The 14777-nt window shown below is 39.4% G+C and overlaps 2 long non-coding RNA genes across 2 annotated transcripts; one reads left to right on the forward strand and one right to left on the reverse strand.

Annotated features, from left to right (window-relative positions):
• The first annotated feature begins 865 nt into the window (after nucleotides 1–865).
• On the forward strand, nucleotides 866–8879 carry LOC124901004 (uncharacterized). The gene is made up of 2 exons (XR_007058821.1): nucleotides 866–971; nucleotides 8820–8879. It is a non-coding gene; the product is annotated as an uncharacterized LOC124901004 (long non-coding RNA).
• A 3982-nt stretch (nucleotides 8880–12861) lies between these two features.
• Nucleotides 12862–14777, reverse strand: LINC01335 (long intergenic non-protein coding RNA 1335). The gene is made up of 3 exons (NR_105009.1): nucleotides 14573–14777; nucleotides 13591–13666; nucleotides 12862–12969 (listed from the first exon to the last, which is right to left on the reverse strand). It is a non-coding gene; the product is annotated as a long intergenic non-protein coding RNA 1335 (long non-coding RNA).

Raw genomic sequence — 14777 nt, forward strand, 5'->3', positions numbered from 1 at the left:
TCTCAGTGTTGCCAAGCCAGATTGCTAGAGGCTGAGTCCCTTTGTTATATGATGTGCTTATTACCAAAGCCAACTCTAACAAAGTATAAACATCTATAAACACAATCTTGAGAAGGCCAGGGACTAGCATGTAACCATTTCTAATCCACGTTTCTGTATTTGCACCAGTTTATGCCACAGGCTAAGGGTGGGATTAAATTTACACATGAAGGCAAGTTGGGAAAATCGGTTTCCCAAGAATTTATAATGCTTTTAAACATAGAGGTCATTCCATAAATATCAGCTGATTGAGAATGTTTCTCAATGTGTACATTCTAATATTTATTGATCCTGGGCAGCCTAATAATCCTGCCAACCGAAACTATTTGGGTCTAGTCTCAGGCCCAGCTGAGTTTTAAGACCAGCTCAAGCCTTAGATTGAGAAAACAGAACCATATCTGGCTTAATGTGGCTTGTGGTTCAGGAACTTATCATTCTTGTTGCTACCTTTCTTCAGACACATCTATTCTATTTAGTATAATTCCATTCGTCTCTTGTTCCAACCCAGTCAACCTCCTAGCTCATTCATCTCACCACCCATCTTTCATTAATCCCCTCTAGTCTCAGAGAAAGGGTCCCTGCTTCTTTTTAAAGTTGGTTTCAACCTGAAGCCTCACCCTGCCACCCACCTCTGCCAAGGTCTTACTCATTAAATCGTTTCCTCTCTGCTATCTTCAGAAATTACATCCTCCCCCACCCCTTCGACCTACCCATCTTTTAAAATCTTTCTGTCCTGTTTTAAAAATAAATTCCCCTTGACTCTCTCTGTTCCCCTCCCACCATAGCTTTCTCGCCTTCTTCCTATGATGACGAAGCTTGCCACCTCCTCTTCTCACTTCCCAATCTCTCCTCAACACATGGCCATCTGTCATCTACCTCCAATGTTCCAGAAAGCCAGCTCTCACGAAGGTTACCAGCCACCCAGCCCACTGGTAAGTCTTTCCTACTCATCTTGTGCTGTATTTGGCCTTGTTGGCTGTGCCCCAAAACCACCTCTGGCTCCTGGCCCATCCTTTCTTTCTGATGTTTCTCTTTTCTGACTATCCCCTCTCAGTTCCTCTTCCCTATTCTTCCTCCTTTGCTTCCCCTACGAAATACTGATGCTGCCTCTGACTTTCTTCTTTCTCTTCTACTTGCTTTCCTTGGAGGCAGTGTGGCCCTGTGCTTGGGCATGGATCTTTGAAGTCAGATTTACTTGAACTTCACATTCTGGTTCTGCTGCTTAAAAACTATTAGGCCTTAGAAAATCACTTTGCCACTCCAAGCTTCAGGTTTCTCTTCTATAAAATCAAGGTAAATGATCAAAATAACAGTAATAATTGTTCTTTCACAGATCTGTCATTCCAAGCATGCACAGGGCTTAGCCCAGTGCTAATATACAGAAAACTTGATGCACAGCAGCTATTGCTATTTTATTATTATCTTCATCACCATGACCCCCAGAGTGATCTCTTCTCATCTTCTCCCCAGATCTCAGTTTATGCACAATTTTTGACATTCACCTCTCCATCCCCAACCCTCTCCTGTCCCCTGAGCTCCAGTGTATGCTTCAAACCACCTATCTACTAGGCAGGTTCTCTGGAAGGTCCACTGGTACCTCAAACTCTGCATGTCCTCTTAGAGCCTGAATTGTGTCCCCATAAAATTCATGTGTTGAAGTCTCACCTCAGAATGCAGCTATAATTTGAAGATAGGGCCTTTATGTAGTAATTAAGTTAAATGGGGCCATTATGGTAGGTCCTAATTCAATCCGACTGGTGATCTTTTAAGAAGAGGAAAACCAGACATGCAGAGAGACACGAAGGATATGTGCACACAGAAGAGAGACCATGGGAGGAGACAGCAAGAGGGTGGCCATCCACAAGCCAAGGAAAGAGGCCTCAGGAGACACCAAACTTATTCAGTACCTTGATCTTGGACTTCTCAGTTCCCGAACAGTGAGAAAATTAATTTCTGTTACATGAGCCACCCAGTGTGCAGTATTTTGTTCTGGCAGCCCTAGCAAATGAATACATGGCTTAGGCTGAAATTGCTAGGTCTTCCTTAAAACATGCTCCTCCTCCTACTGCAGCCCCTCTTTGAACTTATCTGTATCTCTTTCTTCTCCCTAATGACCCACATCTAATCAGTCTCCAAAACTTGATAGTTTTAATTTCTGAATAGCTCATAGTCTATGCACCATCTTTCTTAGCTCTGGCCTGCATGATCTTTCATCTGGTCTATTGCAATAGCTCTCCCACTCAATTTGTCTCTCTCACCATAGCATTTCTCCATTTCAATCCTTCCAGTATACCAGTTAGATTAATCATTCTAAAGCACAGGCTTGTTTGCATCTGCCTTCAACAAAAAAGTCCTTCATTACTCCCACTGCCTAGTAGGAGTTCCTCAGCCTGACACTGAAACCGTCCACAGTTTGGCTCTAGCTTACCCATCGGCCTGGGGTCTTGCTATATCCTTCCTCAGACCTTTATTCTAACCAAACAGGAAAACGTACTACTCCTGAAAAAGGACTCTACCTTTTTAACCACTCCCTGAACTAAAATACCTCACCATTCCTTGTTTCCATTCCACACCACCAAGGCTTTCTTCCCTTATTTCCTAGAGGAAGGGATCTTTGCACTGGGCTCAGCCCCCATGACAGTTCATAAGGACAGCCTGTGACACATGTGTATCCTCTCATTTCTCCTTCTCAACTGTAAACCCACTCAGGCTACCTCTCGTTCACCCTTTATCCTCCATGGTGCCCAGCATGTGCCCCTGGCACATGTCTCTTCCACAGTGTTGATGGAATGAGCAAACGAACAATGCTGATTGCAAGGTCGTGAAGACAAATGGCCTTGACACCCTAAATAAGCCATCTCAAAAAAGAGCTGCTATGTCTGATTTCCCTCTAGTAAGTTAGGTTGTTTGCTCAGATAACCAAAGTAAATCACTCATCTATAGTTATTTTCTGGAATTTAAGCACTAAAGATAAGGCAAATAGCCAAAGATTTTCAAAAAGAAAATGGTGAGAGGCAGAGGACCCAGTTGTGATGTCATTAATATTCAGCCATCATAATTGGGCCTTAACAATTCTCCAGGAACAATTTTCATCTTTATTAATGACACTTAGAGAGCTATCCTCATACCCACCCCAAACTGTTCAATCTGTAAGAAGCATTTTCCACCAGATGCCATCATATCTGACCTTTCTAGCTTCCCAAATGATCGCCCGACCCCTGCTTCCTCCCCTTGCCTCCCCTTCCCATGATGATGAAACATCCACTATAGAACACAAGTGGCATGGAGCCAGGTCAATGATGTGCACCGTGGAAGCTGTTCTGACTGCTCGCTGCTGGCAGCCACTGCTCAGGCTCAAAGCATTATAGCGCTCTGGTACTTTCCCAAAGGCATTCTCAAAGGAGGCTGATGCATCTGGGTTCTCTTTCTACTGATCAGCAGAACACGCATGTTTAAGAATCAGATTAGACACAACTCTTTGGGTCATTTTATATGGTTTTTAAATTGAGAATGAATGAATCCCCATATTCTGTGCCAGTGACTGACTGTCAGGGGCAATCACAACAGGGCTGATCAGGGGTAATTATGAGGCGGCTGCTTTGCCATGGCCCTCATGTGTTATAACTTGCTACATCCGTTCTAGGAAAGGGAGATTCTGCCAAGCTAGTTCCTAATTTGCTCGTCTATTTTGGCAAACAGAGATATAGTCCTATCTCTCTTAAAACAAAACAAAACAAAAAATGAGCTTGTCCAAACAAAGCCTTAAAATAAACTGCAGGAATACCTGAGACTCAGAATGTGTAAGCTCACATACTCATTAGTCAGACACAGTCTCTGCCCTCTGAGCCTCAGTTGTCCTGTCTGCAAAATGGTATAACACCTATTTCTCTCACCATCAGTATTGTTTGAATCCAACTGGTAAATATGTGATTTGAAAATTGTAATACACCACAAAAATATATTACTTATTTTGCATATATTTTATAAGTAACAATGCTTAGCTTTCTTATCTACATCTAAAAGTTTCCTGCCTTTAAATATTAGGTATCTGTGCCAATTACATAGTCCCCCGCTGCCCAGCACCACTAAATTTCAGTGTAAGTATGAATGAGAATGTGCTATATTTTGCCATGTGACGGATACATGGTAGGATGCAGTAGATACTCATTGAATTAGTTAATTGCTTAGTCTCATAAGCTTTTTCTGATGTGCCTGTGGTTACACAGTGGCCAGATTCATACTCCCTAGTTCCAAGGTTCTTTCTACATAGTTTACAAAAAACAACGGGGCAACCAGCAGAGGGTCTGATGCTATGGAGTAAAGCGTTTTATTCACATTCTGCTTGGCTCACTTAGTTTCTCCTCTATCCCCTGAGAGGCTTCTGGGGCTCCTTGACTATTTTCTTGGAGAAAGGCTCAAGCGGGAGATGAGGAGCTTGAGCTCCTGGGGCTGCGACTAGAAGGGGTCTGGAAGCAGGTGGGGGAAGAGTGTACACACAGGACTTTGATCAGAAGACCTGGGATCGAATCTAGACTCTGACACTTTCTACCGAAGCTTCAATTTTCTCACATTAAAAAAAAAGGAGTAATAAAAAGGTTATATGATGAATAAGATAATGCTAAGGATTCTAATTATTTTCATATCATAAAAGATATAAGAACCCCTGAAGTTAAAACATTGTTTTCTTTGATCATGGAAGTATTAATATAAACACGACTGTGGTTCTTAAATGAGCAGCCATGTTCTTCTCCAGCTAATTTTCTAGGGGCTTCTGGGAGTCAGACACAGTGTTGTAAATACTTTGTCCTCACAGAGCCTTTCAGTCTGGCCCTGCTCTGGCTTTAGTTGGTGGTATATGCTTAATCTTCTAATATTCCTTATTTTCCAGGTGTTCTGAGTTCTTAGGCTTATTTAAGGCTTTGTCAAAGTTCCGAGTGCCACCCTCTAAAAAGCTGAGTGATGGTACACATATAACTAATGAGAGAACATATTCTGGGAAAATAAAACTTTTTAAAGTAGATTAGTTTCTCATCATACCATATGGCCCTACAAGTGATCAGATGCACTTCTATGTGCTGTTGATAGAAAAATAGAGTATATTACATATACTTTTAATTGTGAGGAATTACATCATTAAAGAATTTAGAAATAGAAATTGTCTCTTATTTGAGTTAGAAGGAGTATTGGGGGAAAATTAGAATATCACCATATGGCTAACCTTAATTCTAATTTGCATTTTAATGGAAATGAAGCTTTAAATGCCTCATTCTCTTCAAAATCTTTGAGACAGTAAGCCTTTTGTGGGTCTCTCTAGCTTAAGCAAACCAGATTTCAGCAGCTAACTGGCTTTCCAGAGAGTTCATACCACCTAAAAGCATTTAAGGTGAAAATGTTGCATATTGATTTGTTAAACCACGTCTCTGGGAATCCTTAAACACTGCTGCCAAGAGTACATAATTTTTTTTGTTAAAAAAATGTTTTCTGGCCAGGAGCAGTGGCTCATGCCTATAATCCCAGCACTTTGGGAGGCAAAGGCAGGAGGATCGTTTGAAGCCAGGAGTTCGAGACCAGCCTTGTCAACAAAGTGAGATGTGTCTCTAAAAAATTTTAAAAATTAGCTGGGCATGGTGATGTGCACCTATGATCCCAGCTACACAGGAGGCTAAGACAGGATCCCTTAAGCCTGAGCCATGTTCGCACCACTGCACTCCAGCCTGGACAACACAGTAAGACACTGTCTCAAAACAAAAAAACAAAAAAGAGAAAACAGAAATGTTTTCCCTAATTTTAAAGGTAGTTTACACTCTTTGAAAAGGAAATATTAAAAAAAATAGATTGTCTGGAATCTTAGCATCCAAAGATAACCACTGTATATTCTACATCTGTTTCTATATATGCATAAGCAATTATAATTTTTATTGTTTTTGTACTTGCAAAAATGAAATACCAGATTTCCTATTTGTGATCTCTGCATGTTCCCTTAAAGCATGTTGTGAATATCTTTTCCTGGTCACATATGTAGATTATCATCCAGATTCTTATTGGCTGCAATATTACACTATATGAATATGCCATGATTTATTCAACTTGCCTCCTGGTGGTAGATATTTAGATTGTGATGGGGTTCAGGACAGACTACCTTAAGATATGACACCTTGGCATTTGAGAAAACTGCAAAGAAAGGAGGGTCTCTCTGTCTTTCTCCTGTCCTTCTGCCCTGGAGTAGGCCATAAAACCTAGAAAAAATTTTCTGACCTTCTCCTGAAGTAGGTCATAACAGGCTCATGTGAAAGGTGCCCACTCTAAACCCACAGAAAAGGAACATTCTCATTTCTGAAGACATAGAAACACAGGGAAGAATCTAAACAAACAGGCCTTTCTACGTTCCCCCCAGTTTATTACCATTGGATCATACCTCCTTTGTCCAATCACATTTCTCCACAACAATCGACTCCTTCATCAAACTTACCATAAAATTATACAGGTTTCTTTGTCTGAAGCCTCCTGTACTGTATAAAACACATTAAATAAAACTGTATGGTTTTCTCTTGTTTATCTATATTATAGTGCCTCAGCCTTGAACCTAGTGATAAGTGAGGAAAAGAAATCTTTCATCCCCTACAACTGTTTCCAGCTTTTATCATTACAAGCAATGTTATAATAAGCATCCTTATATACAGATCTTTGAGTACCTTCTTAATAACTTTTTAATTTTTTAAAATGGTACCCAATAATTTGGCACATCTTTTTGAAGGAAACTTTTTGGCATAACTGAAAAAAGAAAAAAAAGAGAACTTTCAATTCTTTAAAAGTTACAAAGTATGTCAAAGTAATTCAAGGATAGTCTTCAGCAAATAGTGCTGGGGAGAAAATGGATGTCTACGTACAAATAAATGAACCTCAATCTTCACTTTACCCTATAAAATAATCAACTCAAAATGAGTTCTAGATCTAAATTCTAGAGCCTAGAATAATATAAAATTCTACAAGACAACATGACAAAATCTTTACGACCTTGGAATAAGCAGATTTCTTTGGTAGGATGCAAAACATGCAAACCATTTTAAAAACTGATAAATTGAATTTTATTAAAATTTAAAATGTCTCCCCTTCAAAAGACACCACTAAAAAAATAAAAGGCAAACCACAAACCGGGAAAAATAATAGCAGAAGATAAGTTCAATAAAGGCGATCAAGAATATGTAAAGAATTCTTATAACACAATAACAATAAGATAATCTATTAAAAATAAATGGGCAAATAATTTGAAAAGAAGGTCTCCAAAGATGTGGAGACCTTTGGTGAAAGGTCACCAAAGATGTGTAAATGACCTATACACCCATGAAAAGACGCTCAACATCATAGTCATTAGGGAAATGAGAACTGAAATCATAATGAAATACCACTACAAATCCACTAGGATAGCTAAAATAAGAAAGATGACTGTATTAGTCCATTCTCACACTGCTATAAAGAGACTACCTGAGACTGGGTAGTTTATAAATGAAAGAGGTTTAATTGACTCACTGTTCTGCATGGCAGGGGAGGCCTCAGGAAGCTTACAGTCACAGTAGAAGGTGAAGGAGAAGCAAGGCACGTCTTACATGGCGGCAGGAGAGACAGCGTGTACAGGGGAAACTGCCACTTTTAAATCATTGCTCACTAACACAAGAACAGCATGGGGGAAACCGCCCCCATGATCCAATCACTCCTACCAGGTCCCTCCCTCAACACATGGGGATTATAATTCGAGATGAGATTTGGGTGGGGACACAGAGCCAAACCATATCAATTACCATACAAAGTGTTGCTGAAACTGGGGTGTGGGAATTCCCACACTTTGCTGGTGGACATGTGAAATGTTCAGCCACTTTGGCAAACAGTTTAACAGTTTTGTCAAAAGTCAAACGTATACTTACAACTTAGCATTCCCATTCCTAGGTATTTATCCAAGTGAAATGAAAATTTACATCTGTGCAACAACTTGTACTTGAATGTTCATAGCAGCATTATTCATAATAGCCAAATATCCATCAACTGGTGAATAGATAAACAAATTGTGGTATGATGAACTACTACTCAATAATAAAAAGGTATGAACTACAGATACATACAATGACATGCAGTATCTCAAAAGAATTATGCTCAGTGAAAAAAGCCAGATGTAAGAACACATATCCTATGATTTCATTTATATGAAGTTCTACAAAAGGCAGAATTATAGTGAGAGAAAGCAGATCAGTGCTTGAAAGGGATGGGAACTGACTGTAAAGGGATGAGGGACATTCCTAGAGTGATGGAAATAGTCCATAGTTTGATGTGGTGATAGTGTATATGTTTCAAAACTCATCAAATTGTATACTTAAAACTGGTGAATTGCATTGAATGTAAATTATATCTTAATTTAAATAAATCATGGAATTATAAACTATAATGTTTGCAAGAGATAGCCTTACCCCAATCTTAATCTTCATCCCATCCAACATCTTGCAAGGGGACACCCATTTTTTGGTAAAAACAATTTTTAAAATTGTTCTGATCCGTCAAACAAAAATGTTGTCCACATCAACAGGCTGTTTCAAATTGATCACGTGAAAGAGATTTGTTTCTTCCTGGCCTTGCCCAGGATAAAGTTGTGTCTTCTGATTTTTAATCTGCCAAATATCCAAAAGCAGACTAAAAATTTGTCAATGCTCCAAATATTTAGAACAACTTAAATGTTTGGTACAACATGGAGTAAATAGCTGAAGATTTGATTGAGTTTTTCATTTTTCATCCAGGTGTTCAGATGCAGAATGAACGTAAGAATGATGAAGTGGATGGGCAGATTTCCAAGGCAGCTGGAAGTAAATTGGACAACTGCATGACCCAAAGATGTAAAGCCAAAATTTCACATTCAAAGCAAGTCAGGAGGTAAAACTACACCATGGAGACATGAGGGAGATTGTCAATGAGACTTTCATGCCTCAGAATTTGATGATGATGGTGATGATGATGGTGATTGATAACAATTGCAGCAGCAATTATTTCTTGAGTGCTTACTAAGTATCAGGCTCTGTATTGAGCCATTTACATACATTATCTTATTTATTCTTCACAATAGCCATGTGAATGAGGTACTGTTGATAGCCCTGCTTGATTCAGGAGAAAACTAAAACGTAAAGAGTTCAGGAATCCTCCCCAATTTTGTACAAGTAGTACAAGCTGAGGAGAGGCAACAGTGTTGAGGTTGGGTGAAGGGGGCAACATGATAGCCACAGAAATCATTAGAGAACCATAGTACATCCAACTTTTGTGGCCAAAAGTACTTCAGCTTCCACTATTCTGTTGTTAAAGGGTGTTAGAAAGCACTTTATTTTCTTCTAAAATAGACTAAGGGGGAAAGTATTCCAGTTTTCCCTTATCTCATTATGAGCTTTAAGATGATTATTTTCTTCCTCATAACTCCTGTCAAAGCTTTATTTTGTCCCCTCCCACAAAATCTGGACCCATGGCAGGATGAAGTCCTCTTGTCCTGCCACTCTGTGCGAGGAGCAGTGTCTCTGAGGTGCCAAGGCCAGAAGATGCCATTTTGGTCCTATAGACAAAACCAAGAGGTTTGAGTGGATCAAAATTGTCTAATTAAGTCCAGATTCATTGATTTAAGTATTTAAAAATTAGTCAAGTTTTGTGTCATTCTGTCAATCTAAAATGCCTTTGTTCTTTTTCTGGGAAAACAACTCTTCAAAAATTGTAAGATCTCATGTTTATTGAGTATTTACCAGGTAGCACATAATTTGCCTAGCACTTCACATACATTGTCACATATGAGTTTCATACTATTATCCTAAATTTGCAGGCACAGAAATTGAGTTTAAAAAAATTTTTTAAGGTACCCATGGTAAAGGCATGGCTGAAGCCAGCGACTGTCTGACTCCAAAGCCCTTGCTCTTTACCTCTTCTCCTTCCTGACTTTCCCTTTGAAACCAGACTGAGGAGAGTCAGATGGTTAAGAGACCCAAGTTTCTACCCTGCCTGTGTCTCTTTTTGAGTAGAAACCTGAGCCTCACAGAAGCTGGCTATGTATCTACGGACGGAGGACTCAAGGATGTTTGCAAGCACAACTTTCTTCCGGGAGTTGTCATCACACAGCAGCTCAACCCACCAAGTTGCCCCTTCTTGCATTATTTATGGATATTTATGGAGGATTCAATAATTGCAACATGTGCTATGGGAGTGTTGCAATGCATTGGCAACAAGTTCTTAGCTTTTAGTTAAGACAATCAATTCCAAGGAGTTTTCATGGAGCTAGTCAAGATAGAAAGGCAATGACTAAGGTCAAAACCCACAGTGGACTCAGGAAGAGATGGTGGTACTGCTCTTGACAGATGGCTTTTGCCTCTTACCTAGGTACTTCCCATACCACTGGGATTGTTGGCTTATTTTTAAAAAGATATTAAAAATATAACAAGAAGGAGAGGACCTAAAAGGAAAGGATTTCTCTAAGAACTATCTCTAACTTTTATTGTAAGATCCATTGTTAGTAATCCATGCTGTAAGGAAATCAGGAGAGTAGTTACTGCTGGGAGGGGTCCCAACTGGACGGAAGCACAGTTGCATACCTAGGTGCACTAATGTTCTGTCTCCTAACCTGGGTGCACAGGTTATGTTCAGTTTGAAACTGAACTGGTATGTTCAGTTTGAAACTTCATGGAGCTGTATACCTATGACATATACACTTGTCTGTATGTATATTATGCCTCCATAAAAAGTAAAAGAAGAAACATTGCAAATGAAGATGACCAATTAAGAACTTCACCCTCTTTTAATCTGGAGCACAAAACTTTGCAAGAAGCATAAGTTAAAACTTTCCTGTGATGCAGACCCAGGTATTTGTGGCTCTGCTAAAGACCTTAGCAATGGCCACTGTCGTGGGTTCCTTTTGGTGACCCCCTGTGAGCAGATCTCTCTTTAAGGCTTTGGACACCTCCAGTGGAGAAAGAGGAAAGGAGGCAGAGCAGAGGTCAATTCACTCTGACTCCGACCTCCCACAGAGACCAGACTGTTGGTTCCTGCTCATTTTCCACACTTCATTTCTGATTTTAGTGACTGTCAGCACTAACATGCCTATCACAGATGCCTGCCTGGCCTAACAGAAAAGACTAGATGGCTGTCTGCCCTCAGCAGAGGGATTCCCAAGAGGCACTTCATACCACATGCACATGTCTTCTTAAGCTCAGGATCTCCTGAGTTTTAGCTAGAGAAAGCCTAGGAATAGGGTATATTTACCAATTTATTTTGTAGTAGTTATAAACAAGTACCCTATGTTAAATTAAGTTTGACCTAAACCTGCCCCCTTACATATTTTAAGTTTGGCCTAAAGATTTCTCCATAGATAGTGAACTGAAACCTAACTGGATGTATAAACAGGCTGTAAACGACTTTTGTACAAATCATTGAGTTTCGGCCAATCACATGTGGCCAAGTGTTCAAACCACGTTCAAACAAGACAAACACCGGGCTGTAACAAGTCCAGCTGTTTCTGTACCTTGCTTCCATTTTCTGTCCACAAATTTTCTTAGACCATGTGGCAGTGCTGGAGTCTCTCTGAACCTGTTCCGGTTTGGGGGCTGCACAATTCACAAATCGTTCTTTGTTCAATTAAACTCTATCAAATCGAATTTGTCTAAGGTTTTTCTTTTAACACCTAAAAATTGTTTCCAAAGATAAAAAATATTTTTTTCTTCCTCAAATCTCTGGTTCACCAAACTCCTCACAAATTTATATTAGACAAAATGCTTTGTGCTAGAAAGAAACAGGTTGACACTCAGTGAGACACAGGAAAAGTTAACCAGCCCACTGCCCCTTCCAAGAATGTAAGTGGTGAAGGGGATGGAAGTGGTCTGGCAAATGAAATAAGATTGATCAGATATTGATCAATCAATATTGAAGCTGGAGCATAGGTACATGGGGATTTATAATACTCTTCTTTCTAATTTACGTAGTTTTGAAATTTTCCATAATTCTAAAAGTTTTAACAAGACAACAAGACATTTAAGGTGAGTGCCAGATGGCCAGTGTGGATGATTAAATCTAATATGATCAAATTCACAAATGAAGACAAATGTTCATGTTATAAAAGAAACTGTCTTTTCATTGAGGAGGAGTCCTTCTCATTATCAACAGAGTTTGGCATTAAACAGGAAGTCCTAGAGGTGAGGGATTTTTCTCATGTCAAGTGCTCATTTTGTAAAGCTATTCCACCTGGTGCAGTAGACAATACATGGGCTTTGGAGTCAGGTTGATGTTGGTTTGAATACTAACTCCGTTGTTTACTGGCTATATAATCTCAGAAGCAATATTTAACTTTCCAAAACTCAGTTTCCTCAACTCCAAAACACAGAATTGTGCTGTGAACCAAATGTGTTAAAGTGCTAAGTACAGTGCCTAGAATATAGAGGGTGTTTACTTTTATCAGCGTTGCATTAATATTACCAACATCGTTGAAACAAAGACTATGCATATGGTATAAATTACACGGACGCGTAATCTGTTGTTTTCCTGAGGTATTAGCATTCCCTTCCATGATCTCTGATAGTAGTAACATTTATCAGCTTAAGATTTACCAAGAATCTGTATGATTTTAGTGATTTGAGCCATTAAGCTAATTGGGTCATATTGTAGAATTCTCTCTCTAGATCACATTCACTTTCTTTCAGTTGATATGTTCTAATGCCTGGAAGGTCACCTTTGACATCCTAATCACAAAGTTAAAGGCCTTTTCCTGTTTCTCCTGCTCTTTGATTCTTCTGCAGCCAATGGGCTATTGGCCACTGTTCATTCTTGAAATTACACTATTTTATTGTCTGACATGATGCTGTGTTTTCCTGGTTCCCTTCCCACCGCTTGACAGCTTGTTTCTTTTTCTTCATTAGCTCCTTCTTTATCTACCTTTTAAAAATGAGAAATTATTTAGTTCAATCCTTGGCTCTGGCTTTCCTAGGATATACCCTCTCCTCTTATTTCCAACATCTCCTCCATGCAGATGACTCCTGAAACTCCACCCAAAACCTCATTGGCAATCAACACAGCAAAGCAATGAACATTTTACTTGATCACTGAACCTTCACCAATACCTCAACATCTCTAGGTATAAGTTTCTCATCTGAGCTCAAAACTGTCTTTCTCTACAGATTCCTCCATTATTCCAGTCTTTTAGGACTGAAATCTCAACTTTATATCTTCCCTTTCCTCTATGGAAAGTATCTAAGTAGTGACCACTAGAGTTTGGATATGGTTCGTTTGTCCCCACCAACCCTCATGATTAAATTTCATTCCCAGTGTAGCAGTGTTAGGAGGTGAGGCATAATGAGAGGTGTTTCAGTCATAGGGGTGGATCCCTCATGAATAGATTAATGCCTTCCCTGGGGTTGGCGGGGGTTGGGGGTGGTGAATGAGTTTCCACTCTATTAGTTTCCACAAGAATTGGTTGTTAAAAAGGAGCTGGCACCTCCTCTCTCCCTCTCACTTCCTCTTGCCATGTAATCTTTACAGGAGCTGGCTCCCCTTCACCTTTTGCCATGAGTGGAAACTTCTGAGATCTTCACCAGAAGACAACCACAGTTTGGTGTCATGCTTCTTGTATAGTCTGCAAAACAATGAGCTAAATAAACTCTTTTCCTTTATAAATTACCCAGCCTCAGGTATTCCTCTATAGCAACACAAAATAGACTAAGATAGTGACCAAGCCTTGTTGATTCTTATTTCACAGTGCTGGTTATATTCCTACTGACAACAAGCTAAATCGGACTCTTTTACCTTTCCTAGGATTGCTGAAAAGGCTCCTTAATGGTTTCCTCAATTTCAACATCAGTTACCTCCATTCTATACCCCACATCTATGTCAAACTACCTCTCCCCAAAACACTGTCAGACCATGCCACTCTGCCAATCAGAAGCCTTCCAGGACTCCTCATTGCTTACTGGACTGTATCTAAAACCTTCAGCTCAGAGTTCAAGAGCCTCCATAATGGGCCTCAATATACTTTTACTACCTCCCCTTCCCTCAACTTGTCTACATAAAATAACAACTCCAGATAAACTTATTTCCTTACTCTCTTCCAAATATACTTTTATCCTTCCATTCATCTTCCTTTTTCTTAGACTACTTTCCCCACCAAAACTGCCTTCCTAACCTAATCCTAACTCCCAAATGGGACCAAGGTCAGATCTCACTTCTTTAGTAATGATGTTCCTCATTCTCTAAGTTGAACTAATCGCTCCTTTCAAAAAAGTTTCCACAATTCGTATTCAGATAATACATTTGGTAATTAACCACTTACTGCCTACTGACATCTTTTCCATTATTGCTTGCTACTATTAAGTGCTTTATTGTTATTTAAGTTTTCATATTTGTAAATCTTGTCTCTCCAACTTGATTGTTTACCTCTTCTTTTAAAAGGGGCAAGCCTATCCTCTTTGTATCTCACAAAGCATTTAAGAGTAACTTGTACAATGTATTAACTTTTTGTCCAAATAATTTTAGAAATGTTTACCTCCAATAGTTAGGAACTATTCACATCGCTTTGTATTCTTTCAGTTAATATGTCTTCATGATGGTCCTCAGAGCTTTGAGAAAGCATGCATCTCCAAAATGTGTGTGTATTCTGTCATGGTTTGTATGCTGGATCCTTTCTCCTGGCTTCACGGCAGATTTGGCCTTTAACTATATGGCAGATTTGGCCTTTAACTCTACCATTA

The sequence above is a fragment of the Homo sapiens genome, chromosome 5 (assembly GCF_000001405.40).
Source record: "Homo sapiens chromosome 5, GRCh38.p14 Primary Assembly".
Taxonomy (NCBI): Eukaryota; Metazoa; Chordata; class Mammalia; order Primates; family Hominidae; genus Homo; species Homo sapiens.